We start from the raw sequence: 24,095 nt of genomic DNA on the forward strand, positions 1-24,095 counted from the left end.
ACTGTTACATATTTGCAGGCCTGTGAAGATTGGACCTCTAAAAAGGTTCAATCTCCTTCCCTTTGCAGAAAGAGGTTGTTGGCTGTCTTAACAATAACTTTATGGCTATGGCCACTTCTGGTTAGAAATCAGGGACAAGATTGTCTGAAAATGTAGAAATCATACAGGCTTCTTCAGCTTTCTTATGAAAAGCAATGTAGCATATTGTTTTTGTGAATCAGCTTTGGATTCAGGCTGCCTGGGTTAAAATCCTGCCTTTGTTGCTTATTAGCTGTGTACCTATGGTCAGCTACTTAACCACTCTGTGTCTCCATTTCCTCGTTTGTCAAATAGATAGATGACAATAATACACACACACACACACACACACGCACACACACATATTGTAGTGTTGCTGTGAGGATTAAATGATTCAATACATATAAAGTACCTTTTAAAATGTGTGGCACACATAAATATACAAAAAATGTTGGTCATTACTGCTGGAGATTAGTGAAAATAACCAAGAAAATATTATTTAAAATAGTGCTCCAGCAATTGATAAGTCCCAATGATTATAGGCTATTATTTTGCATTCAAGTGAATCTTTTTTTTTTTTTTTTTTTGAGACGGAATCTCTCTCTGTCACCAGGGCTGGAATGCGGTGGTGCGATCTCGGCTCACTGCAACCTCTGCCTCCCAGGTTCAAGCAATTCTCCTGCCTCAGCCTCCTGAGTAGCTGGGATTACAGGTACATGCCACCACGCCCAGCTAATTTTTGTATTTATGGTAGAGACGGGGTTTCACCATGTTGGTCAGGCTGGTCTTGAACTCCTGACCTCGTGATCCGCCTGCCTCAGCCTCCCAAAGTGCTGGGATTACAGGTGTGAGCCACCGCACCCGGCTTCAAGTGAATCTTGATGAAATATTTGAAGAGAATGTAACATTATTTTTATTTTGTATTGGTTCAGATGCATATAGTCGACTCAGAATGATCTTTGGTAAAGTATGTGAAGCACATCTGATATGTCAGGTCTCTCATTTTTGCACTGATACTAACACCACAATAGATTACAGTTTCATAAGATGTATATGATTATATATGAAATTCATCACTGCAATAATTAGATTTAGTTAACATTCTTCATTTCCCACATTTGCTTTAACTCCTCTTTCAGATTCATAGTCTTCTATGTTTACTTTTATGTTTATGTTTTATGCTATTTCTAGGAGTAGGACAGCTATATTAAAAATGACACTGCATTATTTTTATCATACAGCAGAATGTCTGATCTGTTGGCAGAAATACATAGATGTATATGGCAGAATGTATGTATAATGTAGTAATGACTCTATCCGAGGACATTTTATAGCCATAACTTAAAAAAAAAAAAAAAACCTACAAGTTTGCATTGGTAAATTAATCCTTGTATCCACCCATGGTTGCAGAACCATAGTGATTGTATGGTATTAGTTATATCATTAGCATCTGTTGTATGACACACCCTAGCAGAATGGTAAATTCTCTGATTGTATAATCATTTATGGGGTTGATAATATATTTCTGGCCTTACCAAGAGGTTTTCTTAAAATAATATTTTCATTGAGATATAATTTACATACCAGAAAATCTTATTTCAGAATGTTTTCACCACTCTTAAAAGAAACCCCTTACCCATTAGCTCGCTTTTTGCCCCTCACTGGAGGCCATGGCAATCACTATTCCACTTTCTGTTTCTATGTATTTGCCTATTCTGGACATTTCATATAAAAGGAATCGTAAAATATGTGACCTTTTGTATCTGTCTTCTTTCACTTAATATGATGTTCTCAAGGTTCATCCATGTTATGATATGTATAAGTACTTCATTTTTAAATGCCAAATAATATTACATTATATGTATTTACTGCATTTTTTTAATCCACTCACAGTTGATGGGTGTTTGACATGTTTCCACTTTTTGGCTTTATGAATAATGCCATTATGAATATTTGTGTGTAGGTTTTTATGTGGTCATATGTTTTCAGTTCTCTTGGGTATATATTCAAAAGGAAATCGCTGGATCATACAGTAATTATATGTTTAACTTTTTGAGGAAATGTCATACTGTTTTTTCATGTGGCTGCACCATTTTGCAATCCCACTAATGGATGAGGGTTCCAATTTCTCCACATCCTTGTTAACACTTGTTATTTCCTTTTTAGCCATCCTACTAGGGGGTGAAGTAATATCTAATCATGGCTTACATTTGCATTTATCTGATGACTGATTGTGTTGAGCCTTTTTTCATATTTTTTTGCCATTTGTATGTGTTTGCAGAAATGTCTATTCAAATACTTTGTCCATTTAAAAAATTGAGTTACTGGTCTTGATATTTTCTCCCATTCTGTGGTTTTTCTTTTCACTTTTCTATGGTATCATCTGAAGTGCAAAAGCTTTAAATTTTGATGAAGCCCAAAAGTTGCTTATACTTTTGTGTCATAAAGAAGAAGCCATTGCCTATGAAGTCAAAAGCTGTTTCTACTTTTGATGTAATATCTACAAAATCATTGTCTAACCCAACATGATGAATATTTACCTCTATATTTTCTTCTAAGATTTTTATAGTTTTAGCTCTTACAATTAAGAGTATGATCCATTTTGTGTTAGTTTTGTAGATGGTGTGGGATAGGGGTTCAATTCATTCTTTTGCATGTGGATATCCAGTTGTCTCAGCACCATTTGTTGAAAAAACTATTCTTTCCTGACTTAATTATACCAGAGCTTTTTAATTTTACTTATTTTATTGAAAGGTATCTTATATTTAATCTTTAATATGCCATAATTAACTGTAAAAGAAGTCTTTTATGGCATAAATTAGTCTTGATTGTATGAACATTATCTTGTCTACACTATTACAGCATCAGAACACTAGGTGATATTTTGTTTCTACATTGAACTTGTTATTATGTGAAGTCACCTTCTCAGAGAAGCTTTATTGAAAACCCAAACGAAAATAACTCCCAAGCCACTTTCTGTCATATCACCCTGTTTTATTTGATAGCTTTTAGCACTATCTGATATTTTCTTGTATATTTCATGTTTTGTTTCCAGCCTCTCATCATTCACATGCATACAAATGTGAATGTAAATTCTATGAAAGTAGACATTTTGTGTGTCTTGCTCACTGCTATATCCCCACCACTGAGAGCACTGCTTGGCAAATAAAAGGCACTCAATAAGTACATTTGGATGGATAGATCAATACTTGAATAATGATTATTACCACACCCCACTTGAACTTCCATCTTGTTTTAAAATGTTACAAAAATTATGGCTTCTTGGCCTTTTTAAATGTGTGCTCCCCAACCTGTAATGCCTATCCTCTCTTCTCTCCACCTTTCTTACCTTCAGCAACTTTCACAGCCTGGTTTTAGTCCCATGAATCCTAATCTGTCTACTCCAGTTAATAATGATCTTTTTTATTCTCAAACTCAGTGCCCATAGTTTAGCATATATATCAATCACACCTTACATTTGGGTCATGGCCTCACTATTCTCAAAGCACATTCACCTCCCTTACCTTATTTAGAACCTACTACAACCTGATGGTCTTACAGAAAACCTTTGCCTCGTATTTATTTCTCTCACTTTGAGGAATCAGTGTCTTCTCTTTGCCACCAGCTCTTAAGAACAGGTACATTTTATTACATGCCTCTTATCCACCAACACTAATTCCATAATGAAAAGTATAAAGTTTGGCACATAAATGGTGCCCAATGAATGCTTATTTGCTATGAAAATTATCATTTGCCAACCTTCCCCCACAAAACAATGATCCCAAAGCAGCCAGACAAATGCATCTTCTAAAGAAGCATAGAGGTACCAGAATAGCCTCTTATTTTCCCCACTTGCTCTATTTCTTATTAGAGTATAGCTTCAGGCATTAACATTATCTGTACCTGAATAGCTTGTACCTTCCAAGTAATCATCATTGTTTTGCTTTATTATGTGTGCTTTCTGGGAGCAGAGTTTCTTTTTAGCTTAGCAAAATGCCATATGTATTAGAGTCATTAATTAGCAAATGACTTATTTGATAAAAATGACAAAAAAGAGTAAAATCACCAAATACTGGATCCAAATGACCTAATACATAATTGCACTGGAAATTCTGGAGATCATCAAGAAAATACTAGTAACATAAAGATATCACTGGATGAAAAGATCTATTCATTGATTCACTCATTTCTTTTCAGTCATTTGATAAAAATAGGAAAGTAATTGATCATCAACAATTGTGGTCCCTAGGCTCTTGGCTACCAGTTTCATTCCAGAATTAGAACATAAAATTTCTATTACTATTTTTATACTTTAAAAAGTCTACTCAGCTAGATTAATCCTCTTACCTAAAAACTAAGTTTCTTTATTTCCTGTAGACTAGTGTTCTCAAACTTTAGCATGTATTGGAATCACCTATAGGGCTTGCTTGTTAAAGCATGGTTCATTGGGCATCACCCCAGTATTCCTGATTCAGAAGACGTATAGTAGCATCAGAGAATTTGCAGTTCTAACAAGTTTCTGGGTGATGTGAATACTGCTTGGCGTGGGCACCGTACTCTGAGGACCCTTGTTGTAGAAAATCTGGTCATAGGTAGCAGACAAAGAGGAGACAGCAAAACACATGGAAAATTTTAGGAAACTTACAACTAGGGGATGCAGCTGCTCTTTTGATTTTTTTTTTTTTTTTTTTTTTTTTTTGAGACAGAGTGTCACTCTTGTAGCCCAGGCTGCAGTGCAATGGCACGATCTCGGCCCACTGCAACCTCCACCTCCTGGGCTCAAGCCATTCTCCTGCCTCAGCCTCCCGAGTAGCTGGGATTACAGGCACCCACCACCACACCCAGCTAATTTTTATATTTTTAATAGAGATGGGGTTTCACTGTGTTGGATAGGCTGGTCTTGAACTCCTGACTTCAAGTGATCCGCCTGCCTCCTCCTCCCACAGTGCTGGGATTACAGATATGAGCCACTGCGCCTGGCCCCTCTTGATAATATTTAAACTAGAAGTCACCTGTGTTTGTTCACACTTCCCTTCTCTCTCCAGCTAGATTGAAGGCAGGTACATTATCATATATGCAGATTATACCTTCTTTGTTGTGCTTGCCACATAGAAGCCATGCTCAACTGATGTTAAACAGTTGATCAGTTTAGAAGGCGAAGTCTGAAAGTGGGAATTGCTTCATGGGTTTTTTTTTTTTTTTTTTTTAACAGATCAGCTAAAGTCCCACCACTTTGTTCATATTGGCCTACCTAATGATGTTTAATCAACCTACAAAGTTAAATTATGTAATAAATATTGGAGACAAATTGCTTTGGAGTTTCTCAGCTAAATTTGTTTCTCTCTGTTTTTAATATATACTTAGTTTTGGTGTTTTTAAAGTATTATTTTCCTTCTCATCTCTCTTTTTTTCTGATCTGGTTCTTACATCTCATTTGCTGTAACAGTTCTTGGTGTAAATAAAGCTGTTCTTTTATTATAAGCTTATTTATATCCTTTTATAAACTATATGACATTCAATGTCAAGTATGTGTATACAAGTAAATATAAGTAAATATCTATCTGTTTGCATATATGCACATATTTGATATATAATGAAGACTAAATACCAGTATTGAAAGTCTTAACTTCAATGGTGTTAAACTGAAGCCAATGTGAGGAATAATATTGCACATTTGCTCAATAATATGATTGGTTTAAACAGTTGAAAAGAGTGACAGAGGAAGTCAGTAGAGGAATAAAACCCAGATAAACCAAAAAACACCCCTGCACATTGCCACTGGTAAATTGAAAATCAAATTGACGGTTTACAAATGTGAAACAAAAGCCTTAAGCCTGTTGGTAACTACCTTATAATGTGGATCGGAGATCATTATAAAGGGGGAAAAAAGACAGATAATGACCTCCATTCTAACAGATTTAACCTTGCAAGACGAAATTGCCTAAAGATTATCAAATTATAGGTAAATATAAAAGCACTTGCAATCCCTTTCTTAGGCATATTGATAGTTGTGTTTTTCTTTCTTTTTAAATTTTGTTTCCCTCTTCTTTATAGTTTTCTAGGAAGGCAATATGACTATGCATGGGAACCAACATGATCTCATTAGATATCAAGGAAAATGCTTAAAAATGGCAATAATGAAAAGCATTTCAAACTTTTCTGTTTCCTACTTCCTTTTCCAGCTCAGCTGCTTCACTGTCTCTCCCCAACACACCAGGCACTCCCACTGCCAGAGGCTACTTACTTGTTTTCCACTTTAACATACCTCTCAGCCTTCTACCCATGTAACCACCACCACCCATCTTGGTCCATCTGGTTCACACCATTCCCCTGAATATTTCATTGACTCTTCAATAGCAACTTGCACATACTTCTGTTAGCACCTTCCTCTTTGATATTATACTTATTTGTATAGTTTACTTCCAGTAGACTCTCAACTCCTTGAGGGTAAAAGGGAACTTGCTCCTTTTTGAAAGCTTCATTCCTGAAACGGTGCCTAGCATATGGAAAGTGCAGTACACATTTGAGGAGATCAGGGAGGTAGGGATGTGTTTGTCTTATTTCTGTGCTTTACTTAGGTTACTTACCTTGAGTTTCTGTTTCAAAGCACATTTTCTCTGAAATGAAGCCAAAGATAGTTATAATAATTGTTTCTATCTATGCATATTTTATTATGGAATTAATATAAACTACTGATTCTAAGAAATGTTGCCAGCACATCCACTGATTTTATTATGAATTTTTGATTACGAATGCATATGTATATTTTAATGGCTGTCATGGAAGCCCATTTATGTAGAAAAATGTTATTTTATTAATTATATCTTCTAGGTATAAAAAAGTACTGAAAAATATGTTGGTCATGTAAAATTTCCAATTTTCCCCTCCTTTTTAAAAGTAGCATTATTTCCCAAGTGCACATGTAGGATAAATTTTTAATTCAGAATGTAGACTAAGCCCTGTGTTCATTTAAAGGAAAAAAAAAAAAAACCCTGCAGAATTGTGAATATCCAAAAATCAGATATTGAATATCAACAGTAATTGCCTTCTTAGTTTTTAAACCACTGTATTCATCTTGATTATTCATCTTAAGATAGGAGTGGGGATCACCTAGATACTTAAAATACTGGATACATTCTAGATACTTACAAAAAAATTTATGGCCAATGATCTTTATGAAAAATTTCTCCTAGCAACCTCAGATGTCCTGTTTCAGAACTTTGAAAATGCCTATAAGGTGAATGAAGTCTGTTTGGGGTGCTTTGCAAATGTTGCCTGATGTGGCCTGTGCTAACTCTGCACATACCTTTAGTGCCATCCATTGCAAATTTTCATTTGGCTAAGAACTTTGGGACTTTTTGTTGGCTTAAGAAATACAGTTATTATGCTAGTTAACTTTATTTTAAAGACAGTTTTGCAAAATTCAGTTCTATGGCACAGAAACATCTCTTTTGATTTTTCTAGGCCTTTACGCTTAACAAGTTAACAAAACAGAAAGAAAACCCCAAATCCTTAATATTAATATTTATAGGACTCACTTGGGCCAATTTCATTTGGCCGTAATGTTATCTTGAAGTGTTTAATATTGGGCCCCAAATTGGCAGGTATTAGGTGGCCTTCATAGTTTGACTTGCCCAACAGTCGTTCTAGAGCAAGAGATAAATTGAAGGGTGTGTGTGGATGTGTGTGTGTGTGTTTGTGCGTTTGAGTGAAAAGAAGAGACAGAGAGGGAGAGAGAGAAAGAGAACATGCACGTGGGGTTGAGGGGAGACATTTGACAGGGTTGTAGGAAGAGATGGTAACAATGCTGGTTGCCTTAGTAGGCTTAGGTTTTATCTTTGAATGTCTTAGGGATTTCTCCTCATTCAGCACTGAACCAATTAATAGCAGCAGTAAAGAAATTTGTCAGACATGGTGGTTATATCAGGACTTATATAGGAAAATAGTAATGAACTCTAGGAAAATAAATAAGGATAAGTTCAAGAAACATAACTGAAACTGCTGCGCTGGTATAAATTGAATAATAAAATTTCTAGTCATATTTTGCCATAAATAGAGGTTTGGGAATTTGTCATTCACCTTATTTAAAATTCAGAAATATTAAAGGTACAGAGTTCTCTCATTACAGAAATAATAGAATTCCAGCCATTACTGAGTCAGGGTCATTTAAATGGCTCTAGCATGCATTATATCAGTAAGTGGGACATCTGTATGAAATGTCCACCTGCTGATCTGATACCCCCACTCCAAGCACATTTCAGCGCACCACACTTAATCATTTTAAGATTTCTTCTAATGAAGCCTTATCTAGATTAACATTTTAAGCACAAATACTTTCAGGCATTAAAACTCTCACACTAAATGAAATTGCATTGTCTTGTTTACCCTTGTTGATTAATAAGCACTCTGTTAACTGTTAGAACAGTCCAATTGTGGCAGTAGAAGGAGATTAGTAATTCAGTGATGTTTGTGGATATAATCATCATTTCTCCTGAAGGCTCCGAATTAGAATATCACTTACACACTATCTGTAGGCAAAGAAAGGATATAATATTTTTAGACATGTGTACCCACTATTTTGCTTGAATCATTCAGTTTAGGGTCACTGCAGCAATACAAATGCTTCTGGGGGCAAAATGCTATTTTGGTGCCGGCATGTCCTTCTTAAATAGTGTGAATGTCTATTAAAAGAAACACAGCAACCAACAAATAGTGCAGTAATAATCCAGTATCTTAATTTTCGCTTTCAGAACATTATTGCTTTGTTAATCAAGCTTTGGAAGAGGAATATTGCTTATCTTTTTTTTTCAGATAATAGATTTTATATATAAAAATTCTTTGCAATCTTGTTTAACTTGTTCTCAGCCAGTAGAAAACTGAACTTTTTGCCTCCAAAGAATGTAGGAGTAAATTTGGAAAAATTCTATTTCTTTTCGGAGGATTTTTCTATCTTCTGCGTTTCCTTCGACCTTATGTCAAAGCATGTCAATCTGTTTGGCATTCATGTGACCTAAATGATTTATTTCATTAGGCTAGAAATTGTTAATTACCCAGGTGTCTAGGGAGGACCCTACATTTCGGAGGGATAAATCAGTGAAAAGTGTGGAGGAATGGGATGCAGCTAAATTCTTTAGCATATTGGACTTCTGTAGGAGGCCTCCATTCTAAAAGGGACATCAGAGCTCTTCTTGTCCTATTGTTGGTAGCTGAGTGTATCACTACAATTTGAAATTATGATGGAAGAAGGTGTTTCATGTTTTAGGGAACTCTGCCCTATAAACACTCATAGATTGGTTTCTCTCTATGTTGCAGTCCCTCTGTCGTGAAATCAAGCAACGACGTCGAGGAGTTGCCTCCATTCTGCGACTATGCCAGCATCTTTTGGATGACCGGGAGACTTGCAATCTGAATGCAGACCACCAGCCCATGCAGCTGATCATTGTAAATCTTGAAAGAAGGTGGGAAGCCATTGTCATGCAAGCCGTCCAGTGGCAAACACGTCTACAAAAGAAGATGGGAAAGGAATCTGTGAGTGATGCTTTTTTTAAGCATAATTGTCTGTCATTTTCTCAGACAAAAAATAATTCTTTCAGGCTTGGAAACGGTGTTCATCTTATAAATGGTTTTACTAACTAACTTAAAGTGGTTTTGCCATCTTACAAGTGGTTTTAACTAACTAAAGCTCATAGTTTTACTACGAACTAGCTGTCCACTAAATGAAACTCCATTTGTCATAACACTGACATTTATTTGCTTTATTAAAATTCCTTTAGTGTACCTCATTGTCTTTTTGAAAAAAATCACATGGAGATTTCGCTTAACCTTACCAACCTAAGCCATTAATTCTTTCAATCATTCCTTCACTAACAATATTCATTAATCATACAATAACCCATGAATATTTTGCTAGAAAGTAGCTTAGTACTGTCAGAGCATATGGAGTAATGTGTATGCTCTGCAGATAATACAACGAAATAAAGTACATTGTTTACTTTTCCCTGACATGACATGAGTTAACATCATCTATTTGTACAGTAATCTCCTAGTGTTCCTGCTTAGAGCTTCTTCTGATAGTTACATTGCTGAGAATTGGCAAGTTTCCTCTTAGAGTTTTAATGCAGTGCTCAAGGTGGTGAGTAGAGATTCCTTTTAAGGATTTTCCAAATTGAGTACAGGTTTAAGCTGTTGCTAGATGAAGGAAATAGATATAACTAGAAGTTGTTTCCTTGTAATATACGATGCATATTTGTCCAGAGAGCCTTCATATCCTTTAGGAAAGAATTTATCGATAAAAAAGATTGCATACTCCAAATGACCTTGAGGTCAATGTCTATTAGTTGAAGGCCCAACTCCCATGTTTGACTTATATAAATGGAATGCATACATACATACATACATACATACATACATAGAATGGAAAGTTTTCCTTATATGTTTATATTTTTCAGTTCTATAACTTTGGAAAGTTCAGGATCCAAAATTGAAAAATCAAATGTAAAAATCATGAAAAATCCTCCTATGAATTCTGATTTTAACGAAGCCTTAATATCTGCTCTTTGACGTGTTAGGCACTTGGGACTGGGAACAGAAGGGACAATGAATCAGCAAGCCATCTAATTCTTTTTGCATCTGTAGATATATTGAGTCTAGGGGGTGATTTTATCGTCAATAGTTCTGTTTAATTGTTTTAAGCTGAAGTTGTTAAATTTCTTAAGACTTCCAAGTTATTACTAGTAATCAGAGTCAACATAATTAGATGTCTTTTCTTGAAATGACCTGTTTTTTTGTAAAGCTATTTAGCTGGCATGTTTTTTGTTTGTTTTGAGAGTGTTTGGAAGGGCAGATGAGATTATTATTATTACTTTCTATACTTTTAAGCCTGTAATCGTGGTAGTGGCCATAAGATATATGCAAAAATCAACTGCAGCAGGCAAAGTTGTGAAATTTTTGAAGCATTCAAACTGCTTTGGAGGAGGCAAAGTTGTGTTTCTTTGAGGATTTATTTGAAATCGTATGATCAGGGGTTCTAGAGCAGTTCTCTGCAGACTAGATGTAGACATTTTTATCCTTTTTTTTTTTTTTTCAAGGATGGAGTCTTTCTCTATCTCCCAGACTGGGGTACAGTGGCCTGATCATAGCTTACTGCAGCCTCAAACTCCTGGGCTCAAGTGATCCCCCCACCTCAACCTCTCAAGTAGCTAGGACTACAGGCATGTGTCAGCATGTCTGCCTAATTTTTATTTTACTTTTTGTAGAGACATGGTCTCACTATGTTGCCCAGGCTGGTCTCAAATTCTTGGCGATCCTCCCACCTTGGCCTCCCAATGTGCTGGGGTTGCAGGTGTAAGCCACTGCACTCAGCCTTTTATTCTACTTCTATGGTAAAGGCAAGCTTTAGCTTTGAGGCAACCCTGGCTGCTTCTTAAAGGTTCAAGCTACTACATACAGGTAGATACAAATTCCAAACAGAGAAAGGTGTTTCCTTTTGTTTAAGGTGACTGCTGAATGTGTAGACTGGAAAAATGAAGGTAGCAAATAAGGTCCTCTGTGCTGAAAGTTGAAAATCTCTGTCAGAAAAGGAATGAAGAGAGTGGTCTAATGCCAACAAATACTGTGAGCACCGGGTACATCATTCAGTGGGAGATATTTCTCTGCTTCTTATCTCTGTTGGTTGAGTGAAGAGTCCAGGTTGCTTTGAAGTTGCCAATGTGGGAGGCTGCCTTTGCAGAGAATCAGAATCCTCTAAGTTGGCTCTTCAGTTATCATATGTCCCCACTCCCATTTCATCCTTGCTTGTGCATTGGGACTTTCACTTCTTTGATATGGTTTGTCTGTGTCCCCAACCAAATCTCCTCTTGAATTGTAGCTCCCATAATTCCTAGATGTTATGGGAGGGACCGAGTGGGAGATAATTGAATCATGGGGGTGGTTTCCCCCATACTGTTCTCATGGTAGTGAATAAGTCTCACTAGATCTGATGGTTTTATAAGGGGAAACCCCTTTCACTTGGTTGTCATTCTCTCTTGTCTGCTGCCATGTAAGATGTGCCTTTTGCCTTCCACCATGATTGTGAGGCCTCCCCAGCCACATGGAACTGTGAGTTCATTAAACCTCTTTTTCTTTATAAATTATTCAGTCTTGGGTATGTCTTTATCAGCAGTGTGAAAACAGACTAATACACTGCTATATCCCCCAGGGCCTGGGAAATACTTGCACATAGTAGGTCTACAAATAAGTATTTGCTGAATGAATGAGTACATGTGTTCATTTAATAAATTTTGTTTCATTCTGGCATTTGATTTGGAGTTACTGTATCTATATTCTAAATTTTTACATTTTTTCACAAAGTAGCTGAGTGTTATGTTTCTATAAGAACACCAAGAAGATGATCTTTAATCTTTCTTGCTTAATAAGGCCTCCCCAGACTCTCAGACCTGTTTCCTAAACTCAAGGAGACTGTCAGTCTCTAAGTGGAGTCTAAGGAGGCTAAAGTGGCTAACATTGCTACAGGGCAGAGTGCCAAAGAGGAAAGGGCTACACAGACAGGGCGCACCGGAGATATACAGAGGGATGCTCTCAAGTACTCAGCAGAAGGAACCACCTGAAAGGATTAGAGGGAACACTCCCTGGAGCTTGCACAGAGCTAGAAATCATTCCCTTTTCCCTCACTCATAGTAGAAACCCTCATCATTCACAAGGCATGTGATAGGGTACCAAGAAAAGTTTTTGCCTTAGTAATGGGGCAAACTTAGACTAAATGCTGCTCTGGTCTTGCCCAAAAAAAACTTAAAAGCAAGACCTGAAAGGATCAAACTGTTTCAAAGTAATTTAACTATACTCCCAGGACAAAGCTCAAGAATATTTATAGGAATACAAATACCCAACATACAACAAGTTAAAATTTATAAAATTTATAGTGTCTGACATCCAATCTAAACCTACCAGGAATGGAAAGAAGCAGGAATAGTCAGCTGATGTGAATATGAATATTAATCAATATAAACTGATCCAGAAATGTCACAGAGTATAGAATTGGTAGACAAAAACATTAAAAGTTATTATACCCGCATTCCATATGTTCAAGCAGCTGGAAAAAATATTGATCATATTAAGTAGAGACATTAAAAATATCTACCTGAAATCACATTATAAAGAGGAAAACTATCATTACTGAGATGAAAAATACACTGGATGAGATTAACAGCCAATTAGACATCACAGAAGAAATAATTTGTAAACCTGAAAACATAGCAATAAAAATTGTGCAAAATGAAGCAGAAAGAAAAAAAGACAGAGCAAAATAAAATCAGAGCATCAGTGAGCTCTGAGGTATCTTCAAGCAGCCTAATTGAAGATTAGAATTAGAATCCCATAATAAAAGGAAGGTGGAAGCTGGGTGCTCTTGCTCACATATGTAATTCCAGCACTTTGGTAGGCTGAGGTGGGAGGACTGCTTGAGGCCAGGAGTTCAAGACCAACCTGGGCAACATAGCAAGACCTCATTTCTACAAAACAATACAAAAATTAGGCAGGCCTGAAGACACATGCGTGCAGTCCCAGCTACTTGGGAGACAGAGGCAGGAGGATCACTTGAGCCTGGGAGGTTGTGGCTGCAGTGAGCTGTGTTTGTGCCACTGCACTCTAGCCTGGATGACAGTCAGACCCTGTCTCAGAAAAATAAAAATAAAAAGATAGTGGAATAAAATAACCTAGAATTATATATACAGAGAAAATATCATTCAAAAATGAAGACAAAATAGTTTTCATTCATTAAAACCTGAGGATATTCATTACCCATCGACCTGTACCACAAGAAATGTTAAAGGCAGTCCTTCAACCAAATGGAAAATTATATCAGATGGAAACCTGGATAAGCACAAGGGAATGAAGAAGACTGAAAATAGTAACTATGTGGGTTACTATGAAATTTTTTTTGTATTATTTAAATCTCTTTAAGTGGTAATAGACTGCTTAAATCAAGTTGATAACAGCTTATTGTCTATTTATAACATATGTAGAAGTCAAACGTATGACAACAAAATATTGCAACGGCCAGGAACTATGTGGTTTTTATTCTATGTGAGGTGGTATAATATCATTTAAAGTTTTTTTTTTTGAAAAGAGGATTAAAGAAAAAATTAGACATGTGATAAGATAAAATATATGGTTTTGGGTTTTTTTTATTTGTTTGTATTTTTAGATACGGGGTCTTACTCTGTTGCTCAGGCTACAATGCTATGGCACAATCATGGCTCACTGTAGCCTTGACCTCCTGGGTGCAAGCAGGTCTCCTGCCTCAGTCTCCAAGTAGCTGAGAATACAGGAGCATGCCAGCATACCCAGCAATTTTTTTTTTTTTTTTGGAGAGATGGGATCTCGCTATGTTGCGCAGGCTAGTCTCAAACTCCTGGCCTCAAGCAGTTCTCCCACCTTGGCCTCCCACAGTGCTGGGATTACAGGCATGAGTCGCCATGCCTAGCTTATAACTCTTTAAAAACATAACAAAAAGCTATAATGAGTAGGCCAACAGAGGAAATGAATAGAATCATTTAAAAAAAAATAAAAGAAAAAGAATAAAAAATAGATGCAATAAATAGAAGAATAGCAAGATGGAAGACTTAAAACAACTGCATAAATAATCCTGTTAAATGGGAATGGACTAAAAGCCCCAATTAAAAAGGAACAATGATCGGATTAGGTTTATAAAGCTCTACTGAGTTACATGTTGCCTATGAGAAACCCAATTTAGGCCAGATGTGGTGGCTCACACCTGTAATTTCAGCACTTTGGGAGGCTGAGGCAGCAGGATCACTTAACCCCAGGAGTTTGAGACCAGCCTGGGCAACATGGTGAAACCCCGTCACTACAAAAAAATAAAAATAAAAAATTAGCCAGGCATGGTGGCAGTGCACCTGTGGTCTCAGCTGCCCACTACTCAGGAGGCTCAGGTGGGAGGATCACTTGAGCCCAGGAGGTTGAGGCTACCATGAACAGTGTTTGTGCCCCTGTACCCCAGCCTGGGCAACAGAGTGAGACTCTGTCTCAGGACCAAAAAAAAAAAAAAAACAAAGGAAACCCACTTTAAACATAAAGATATAATAAAGCTAAGAGATGGAAATATATATATTAAGCTAACACAAACAGAGTTGGAGTGGCTGTATTAATAGTAAACAGTGTAGATTTCAGAGCAAAGAAGATTACAAATTATAAAGAAGCTCATTCTTAATGATAAAGATGCCAATTAATCAAGAAGACAACATTACTAAATGTTTATGCTCTAAAACAGAGCTTTAAAATACATAAAGCAAAAATTGATACAACTGTGAGGAGACAACAAAAACAGACCATTTTGGGCAGAGATTCCATTACTTTTTCTCAATAGCTGATAGACCAGAAAAATCAGTAAAGATATAAAAGACTTGGAATGATACTATAAAGCAATTTAATTGGCACTTAAAACACTCTATCCAAGGCTTTTATCAAAAGGATAATGAATAACAATTGTTGGTGAGGGTGTAGAAAAAAGGGAACCCTTGTCCACTGTTGGTAGGAATGTAGATTGGTGTAGCCTCTGTGGGAAGCAGTATGGAGGTTCCTAAAGAAAGTGAAAATAGAACTACCGTATGACCCAGAAATCTCTCTTGTAGGTCTATACCCAAAGGAAATGAAATCACTGCCTCATAAGGATGTCTTTAGTCACATGCTCATTGCATCATTATTTATCATAGCCAAGATATGGGAACAACTGAAGTGTCCATTAGATGAATGGAAAAAGAAATTGAAAAAAAAAACATATATATATATATGCATGCTTATACACATATACACACACAATGTAATATTTGGCCTTAAAAAAAAAGGAGATCCTGCTATTGGTGAAAACATGGATGAAACTGGAGGACATTATGCTAAGTGAAATAAACCAGACACAGAAAGAAAAATATTACATGATCTCACTTATATATGGAATCTAAAAAGAAAAAAAGAAAGAAACAGAGAATCTGAAGGGAAATGGAAAGATGTAGGTCAAAAGATATGAAGTTGGAGTTATGGTCCTATTAAAAAATCTAGAGATCTAATGTACAATCTGAGATGATGGATATGTAAATTTGCTTGAATATAGAAGTCACTTCACTACATGTATCAAAACATCATGTCGTACACAATATATACATTTAAAAATCAGTCATGTCATCCAGCAGCAGCAGAATATACATTTAAGTGCACACATAACATCTACTAAAACTCTCTTCTGAGCCACAAAACAAGTCTTAAATTTAAAAGAATTCAGCCAGGTGCAGTGGCTCATGCCTGTAAGCCCAGCACTTTGGGAGGCTGAAGCAAGAGGATGGCTTCAGCCTGAGACTAGCCTGAGCAATATATCGAGACTCCATATCTATTTTTTTAAGTTAAAATAACTCATGTCATACAAAGTATGTTATTTGACTATAATAGAATTAGTTTCAAAATAAGTAATAGCAATATATTTGGAAAATCCTCAAATACATGGAAGCTAAATAACACACTTATATACAACTCATGGGCCAAAGAAGAAATGAAAAGGGAAATTAGAAAGTATTTTTAATTGAATAGTAACAAAATATTAAAATCTGTGGGATGCCACCAAAACTAAGATCTTAGTTTTCACCTTATGAAACTAGAAAAAGAAGACCAAATTAAACCCAAAGTAAATAGGAGAAAGAAAATAATAAAATCAAAGCAGAAATCAGTGAAATAGAAGACAGAAAAAATAATAAAGAAAAAAATCAATGAAATGAAAATCTGGGGTTATTTTTGAGAAGACCAATGAAATTGATAAACCTCTAGCTAGATTGATTAGGGAAAAAAAGAGAAAAATAAATTATCAGTATCAGGAATAAGAGACAGACATCACTACAGCTTCTACCAATACTGAAAGAAGACTGTCAGCCAAGATCGCGCCATTGCACTCCAGCCTGGGCAACAAGAGTGAAACTTACTCTCAAAAAAAAAAAAAAAGAGAATATGAAGGTAATTTTATGAATAATCTTTTGTCTACTAAATACATTGAGTCATTAGTTTAAAACCTCCCCAGAAAGAAAATTTCAGACCTAGTTGGCTTTATAGGTGAATTCTACCAAACATTTAAAGAATACATAATATTAATTTTATGCAAAGTTGTCCAGAAATTGAAAAGGAAAGAATATTTTTCATTCTCATTCCTTGGGCAAGCATTACCCAGATGTCAAAAAGGCAATACAAGAAAACTGCTGGATGATATCCCTTATGAATGTCAATAAAAAGATTCTTAACAAAATTTTATCAAATCAAATAAAAAGTATATAAAATAGAAACTACATCATGATATTGTGAGGTTTAGCCTAGAAATACGTAGTTTCATACTTGAAAACAATCAATGTAATTCATCGTATTTGCACACTCAGGAAACCCATTTGATTATCTCAATGCTGAAAAAGCATTTGCCAAAATCCAATATCCTTCCTGATAAAAACTCTCAGAAACCTAAGGAAAAAATGTCCAGGTGTGGTGGCTCACACCTGTAATCCCAGCACTTTGGGAGGCCGAGGTGGGTGGATCACTTGAGGCCAGGAGTTCGAGACCAGCCTGGTCAACATGGCGAAACCCCCATCTCTACTAAAAATACAAAAACTTAGCTGGGCATGGTGGTGCGCGCCTGTAATCCCAGCTACTCTGGAGGCTGAGGCAGGAGAATTGCTTCAACCTGGGTGGTGGAGGTTGCAGTGAGCCGAGATCACGCCACTGTATTCCAGCCTGGGTGACAGAGAGCAACTCTGTCTCAAAAAAAGGAAAGAAAGGAAGGGAGGGAGGGAGGGAGGGAGGGAGGAAGGGAAAGAAAAAGAAAGGAAGAAAGGAAGAAAAGACCTAAGGAAAAACTTAATAATGGGGATCCACAGCTAAGAAACAGTTAACATCATACTCAATAGGAAAAAACAGAATACTTCTCCTCTAAGATCAGGAATAAGGCAAAGATGTACAATTTCACCATTTCTATTCAAAATTGTATTGGAAGTTTTAGCCAGATCCATAAAGCAAGAAAAATAATTTAAGACATGCCATTTGTCAATTAAGAAGCAAAATTATTTTTACTCAGAGATTCCATCACCATCTATGTAGAAACTGCTACAGAATCTACAAAAAGATACTAGAACAAATAAGGGAAGTTAACAAGGTTATAGGATACAAGATCAATATATAAATGTCAATTATATTCTAGATATTACTGATAAATAGTCATAAATTGAAATTTTTAAACATTCAATTTATAATATTAATAGTACATGAAATGCTTAGGGATGTATCTAACAATAGATATGGAAGAACTGTATGCAAACAGCTACAAAATATTGCTGAGAGAAATTATTAACAAATAATAACTAAATTAATAGTGGACTATACTGAATTCATGGATCAGAGGATACAATATTAAGATATCAAATCTCCCCAAATTTATCTATAGAATTAATGTAATCCCAATGAAAATCTCTGTGATTTTTTTTTTTCGTAAAAATTTGTAAGCTGATTCTAAAATTCATTTGGAAATGCAAAGGACATAGAATACCCAAAGCAACTTTGAGAAAGATGAGTTAAATTGGAGGATTTATACCTCCTGATATCAAGAGTTATAATAAAGCTACAGTAGTCAAGAAAGTATGGCATTGCTGTCAAGGTCAACAAATACATCAATGGAACAAAATAAATATTTCAGAAATAGAGCTACACATAAATGGTCAATTAATTTTTAATAGAAGTACAAAGGCAATTCAATGAAGAAAGGATAGTCTTTTGAACAAATGATCCTGGAACAATTGAATTTCCATATGCACAGACATAGATTGATCCGTATAATGTGCCATATAAAAATTAAGCAAGATAAATAATTGACCTAAATGTAAAATGTAGAAAATTTTAGAAAAAAAATCATAGGGTAAAATCTTGTGATCACTGGAGCAATAATAAAGGGTAACGAGAAATCTTTTGGGAGTGATAGAAATATTCATGATCTTGTTTGTAGTGATCATTTTGTATGCATATTCTTATATCAAAGCATAAAATTTTACATTGTAATATGTATAATTTACTTTATTTAAATTATACCTCAATAAAGCTGTTTAAAAAAAACACATATTCAGAATTTTAATTACAAAGGAGTTGATAGATTACCCTGAAGCCTGGCAGTGAGTATCCTTGTCTTGGTATAAGTAAATGAAAATGGGCATTCCTTTTCTGAAGAACCAAACAATGCTAATAACAGCTAACACATCGCACTTGATATATATCAGGCAATGTTCAGTCCTTTAAGACTCTTAATAACCATATAATTTACGTGCCATTATCCTCTATTTTACAGAAGAAAAAAATTGAGGCAAAGAAAATTTCAGCAATTTTTCCAGAGTTACCACCTGGTTTGTAACTCATCTGAGATTTGAACCTGGGAGCTCTGGCTTCAGAGTCAGTGTCCTGAATCAACAACCTAAACTGCCTCTCTAAGACAAAGCCTTCTTTAATGATAAGAATGGTACATATGCAGCCACCTTTAAATCAAGTAAATGAACAAGACTTTCATAAATACAAATTAAGTGACTTAGATTTGGAAATTAGGTGATTCTATTTTCAATATATTTTGGAAAATTATGGATCAAATTTTCGTATCACATGTGACATATGGAGAAGTTTTAATTGTCAAAAATTATATCTAAATGGGCTATGAAAAGCAATAATTTCTTATGAGAACTTTAAGAAAAAGGCGTAAGCAAGCACTTTCTGTTTCAATGTGCTAGAGAAACTAGAGAAGAGGATTTGGGCTGCTGTGTGAATTGGTTGACCACTGATAGTTCACTGACACTTATTTAAGCATTTCCTATAAGTCCATGGGAATTCTTATTAAATTCACACATGCTTCACAGAAACTCATGACATTTATGGAATTTGTAGTAAGAAGGACACTTTTCCAGCAGTGATTTGTATATACCACAAATCAAATTTCTCTTCTCAAATGCCATCTTAACAAACCTCTCTACTGAACAGGTTCAGTCTAGTATACACAATTTCCTCAGGGGAATCTGCAAAATTGCTAACACAAGAGGGTGTTATACATTGTGAGGAGACATGTTTCTGTTTTTAACTTTTTTCCATATTAGTTTTGTTTGTCTAACTTACTGTTGGAGATCCCTCTAAAAAGCCATGTGGCATATCTTAAGTGTCACTCACCAAGAGAGTGGGGCTGTTGTATTACTTGCTAACAGCATTGAACATGTACTGTTTCTCAGTTGCTGTGTTACCACTTTTAATATGTTGTGTTATTTAATCTTCATAACAACCAAAGATGAAGAAACTAAATTTTTGATAGATTACATAAATTATACAAGGTTATGCAGCCAGTAGGCGGAGAAAGGTGTGGACGCAGGCGTATCTGACTCCAAGATGTAAAGTTCTTTTAGTTCTTAAAGGGTTTATTGACAACAATTTCTTGCCTTTCTTCCCCCTAAGACTACTTTGGTTGTTTAGTATATCTTGGTTAATGATTTATATTGTTATTCTTTTTATTGGAGACTGCCTGGAATTCCTTTTTGAATTGAATACAAGAAGAATCATATAAATGATTGATAGCACAGTAATTTTTGTTAATATACTGTTTTCTATTCATTAGTCAGTTCTGAGGACTTTGGCATGACATATTAAAGATCTGCAGACTCAAGTTAGACTGGATTGAATTAGAGAACACCATTTGGAAATAAATCCAGTGCTTCCCTCCATTCTTGTTCATTGGCTCTTTTTTCTCTATTGCATGTCCTTCCAATGAAAATTGGCTCTTACATAAAGAGTTGGATTCATCAGAAGAAATACATGAATAGAATTAACTATTGGTATTATTTGGAAAAATTTCAAACCAAAGAATGAGAAATAACAGAATAAAGAAAGTAAATCTTGAGAGGGAAAACATTTCTTTTGAATAATTGAAATTTAAAATTAAATTTTGAATTGAGAAAGTTTGAATAATTATTAAGTTACAGTTTAGATTTTTAATATATATTTTTAAGAATGAAATACTTTGGATAACATCATCATATATGATCATTCAATGTTTTTTACTTTTAAAATATTACCAAAAGTAATAGAATGAGTTCTATGTAAAACTCTCTTGAGTTTCCTGTTGGCAGTTTTCTTGAATCCAAAGACGAAAATGAAGGGAAAACTGATCTGACAGTTAATATACGTGTGAAGCTTAGTTGGGGAAGTACTTGCAAAGTGTTGTAAATATAAGGCTCTTTGAGTGTTGGTTGGAAGTAGTATGGGATTTTGCTATAAATATCCTTGCTTTGCCAGTCTTTGAAAGATCTTGTACAGGACAACTTCTTTCTCTCACAACTTTCCCAGTTCAGATTCTTACGTCATCTGTACCATATAAACGAATGCTATACTTATTTGGACATAGTCAAACCAACCAAGACATAAACTAATAAGTAAAAGGACACAAATTTCTCTTTAGTTTTCAGAAATATGAGAATGTGATTTAAAAAAAAACTGGTGAAGACACAAGTATCATTCTCAGAAAATGAAAATGATTTCACAAAGTGTCGTATTACATTTATTGATGATGTCCCCAAGTAATGTCCAATTCACTCCCAGATTTTTTAGGAAAATGTTCTGGGGTCATTTCTAACAACTGAGGACACCACTGCCATTGAGTGGGTGCATCTGGGGAGACAGTAACAATGCATGAAACAACCCCGTATGCAGACAGATTTTTCCACAAATGCCAGCAGCGTCCCCATTGGAAAACACTTTGTTCTGTAACCATTTTGGTGCACTGTTACTTTCATGTTCGCTCTGAGGACAGATCTCTGATAATATACATCTGTAAAATACTCATTTCAGCTCTACTTAGCCCTCTGAAAGACCTAAACCTTTATCTTTTTTTTTTTTTTTTTTTTTTTTTTTGAGACGGAATCTTGCTCTGTCGCCAAGGCTGGAGTGCAGTGGCGCCATCTTGGCTCACTGCAAGCTCCACCTCCCAGGTGCATGCCATTCTCCTGCCCCAGCCTCCTGAGTAGCTGGGACTACAGGCGCCCACCACCACGCCCGGCTAATTATTTTATTTTATTTTATTTTTTTATTTTTAGTAGAGATGGGGTTTTACCGTGTTAGCCAGGATGGTTTCGATCTCCTGACCTCGTGATCTGCCTGCCTCGGCCTCCCAAAGTGCTGGGATTACAGGCATGAGCCACAGCACCCAGCCTAAACCTTTATCTTAAAAGCAAGAAAAATTTGCCTTTCCTGTCTGTTTTCTTACCTCTCTAACTCTCATATAAGTCCTCTGAATAGTCCTATCACTGTTTTCTGAGTTCAGACAAGTAGTTATCAGTAGCAAGTAAATTATTCTTGCTTTTCAATTAAATGTTTTAAACAGAAATAATGTGGATTCCTTTGAAATATTTTTATTTCAAAGAGTGTGCTTTTGAATCCTTTGTGAATTTAGGGTTTTAAGTTTTTATTCTTTGTACAAATATATTTTTTTCTTTTGCTCTGGCACTCCAGAACTCCAGCATTGAAAACAGAACATCGTGTCTAGAGAAACCTTACACATTTATTGGCCCCAAAAATACATAACACATCTAGCCACATAATTGAAAATAATAAGGCCACGATAAATGGGATGGCCCCAGGGTAAAACACCCAAAGGATTCAATTGGTGTCACTTTGCATCAATGTCCATGCATCATGGTAATTGAGGTAACATAACCAATTACCACATTTTAATTAGAGTTCTAAGAACTCGAGGAAATTTGCAATGATCAGACAGCTCACTTTACAAAAGAAAGGAAAGAATGAAAGAAAGGGGGGGAACCCCACACTTTTTCTGCCTCTCAATCTTATTATTTGGTGATGCATATATTAAGATAAATAGCATTCTTATCTTAATCTGACGAATGATTTCAGAAATGTATGACCAAAGAAATTCTCTAGATTGTGACCTCAGCTTATAATTTCATTTCCCATCTAGGTGTACCTCGCCATTGTAACTTGGGGATTCATTCTAAGTTTTTAAGTCAGTATCTGAACACAGTGACACGTTATTAAATACATATTTATCTGGGTTTGGTTGCTGAACAAAAATAGATCTAGATTTCACCCCCCCCAAAAAAATTAAAAGCAAAAAGAATTACTACATTTAGAAAATAATTTTGACTTGTGGCAATTATTTTTATAAGGCTAGAGTTTAAGTGAAAAACCTCCTGTAAAATTTTAGTGCTGCTACATAATCAAGTAATTATGTAATTACTTGTACTTAATTACTTACAAGAGAGATCGCTGTTAAAAAAAGTCTTTATGCATGTCAAAAACAGCTCTCTTCTTTAGAGTATTTCTAGGTAAGCTTCAAATACCAAAAAGCTCTTTCAAAGTAATCTCCAATAAATTTATTTTTCTTTTATAAATCCCTCACCATTTTTTTCAAATATATGCAAGTACATTACATAGAGATCTATATGCCCTCCCTCCTGTTTCCACTTATTACAGCCAAAAACAAATGTGTCATTCCAAATCCTTGGGAGGCTGAAACAGGAGGACTGCTTGAGCCCAGGAGTTCAAGGATGCAATGAGCCGTAATTATACCACTTCATTCTAGCCTGGGCAACAGAGTGAGACCCCATCTCAAAAAAAAAAAAAAAAAAAAAAGAAGGTGGGAAGGAAGAAATGATTTTTAAATTACACATGAAGGGCTTGGTATTAAATATAAGAATATAAGACATGTATCCTTAATGTGACAGTTTCCAGTAGACAGAGTAGATTTTCAAGAAAGCTGGGAATTTTCTTGAGTATTATAATACAATATGGTGATTAAGAGCTAGAGCCAGACTCTCTCACTTAGTAGCTGTGTGATCATGGCAAATTATTTAACTTTTCTGTGCCTCAGTTTCTTCATCTGTAAGATAGAGATAACAATGATAAACTATAAAAACCCTAGAAGGGAGGTTCAAGATGGCCAATTAGAAGCAGCCGTGGTCTGTGGCCGCGGAACTCACGGAAAGGAATGAAAAGGGGCAAGGGAATTCAGC

The 24,095-nt window shown here is 35.5% G+C and overlaps 1 protein-coding gene across 15 annotated transcripts in view; it reads left to right on the forward strand.

The window, feature by feature from the left end:
* AKAP6 (A-kinase anchoring protein 6) overlaps positions 1-24,095 on the forward strand; it is a 508,387-nt gene that overhangs the window by 435,050 nt on the left and 49,242 nt on the right. For all 15 annotated transcript variants that reach the window (XM_047431969.1, XM_047431966.1, XM_024449755.2 and 12 more), the window contains one exon: positions 9,331-9,546. In XM_047431969.1, coding sequence (XP_047287925.1) covers positions 9,331-9,546 — 216 coding nt within the window. The remainder of the gene's footprint in view (positions 1-9,330; positions 9,547-24,095) is intronic.

This window comes from Homo sapiens, chromosome 14 (genome assembly GCF_000001405.40).
Source record: "Homo sapiens chromosome 14, GRCh38.p14 Primary Assembly".
NCBI classification, from domain to species: domain Eukaryota; kingdom Metazoa; phylum Chordata; class Mammalia; order Primates; family Hominidae; genus Homo; species Homo sapiens.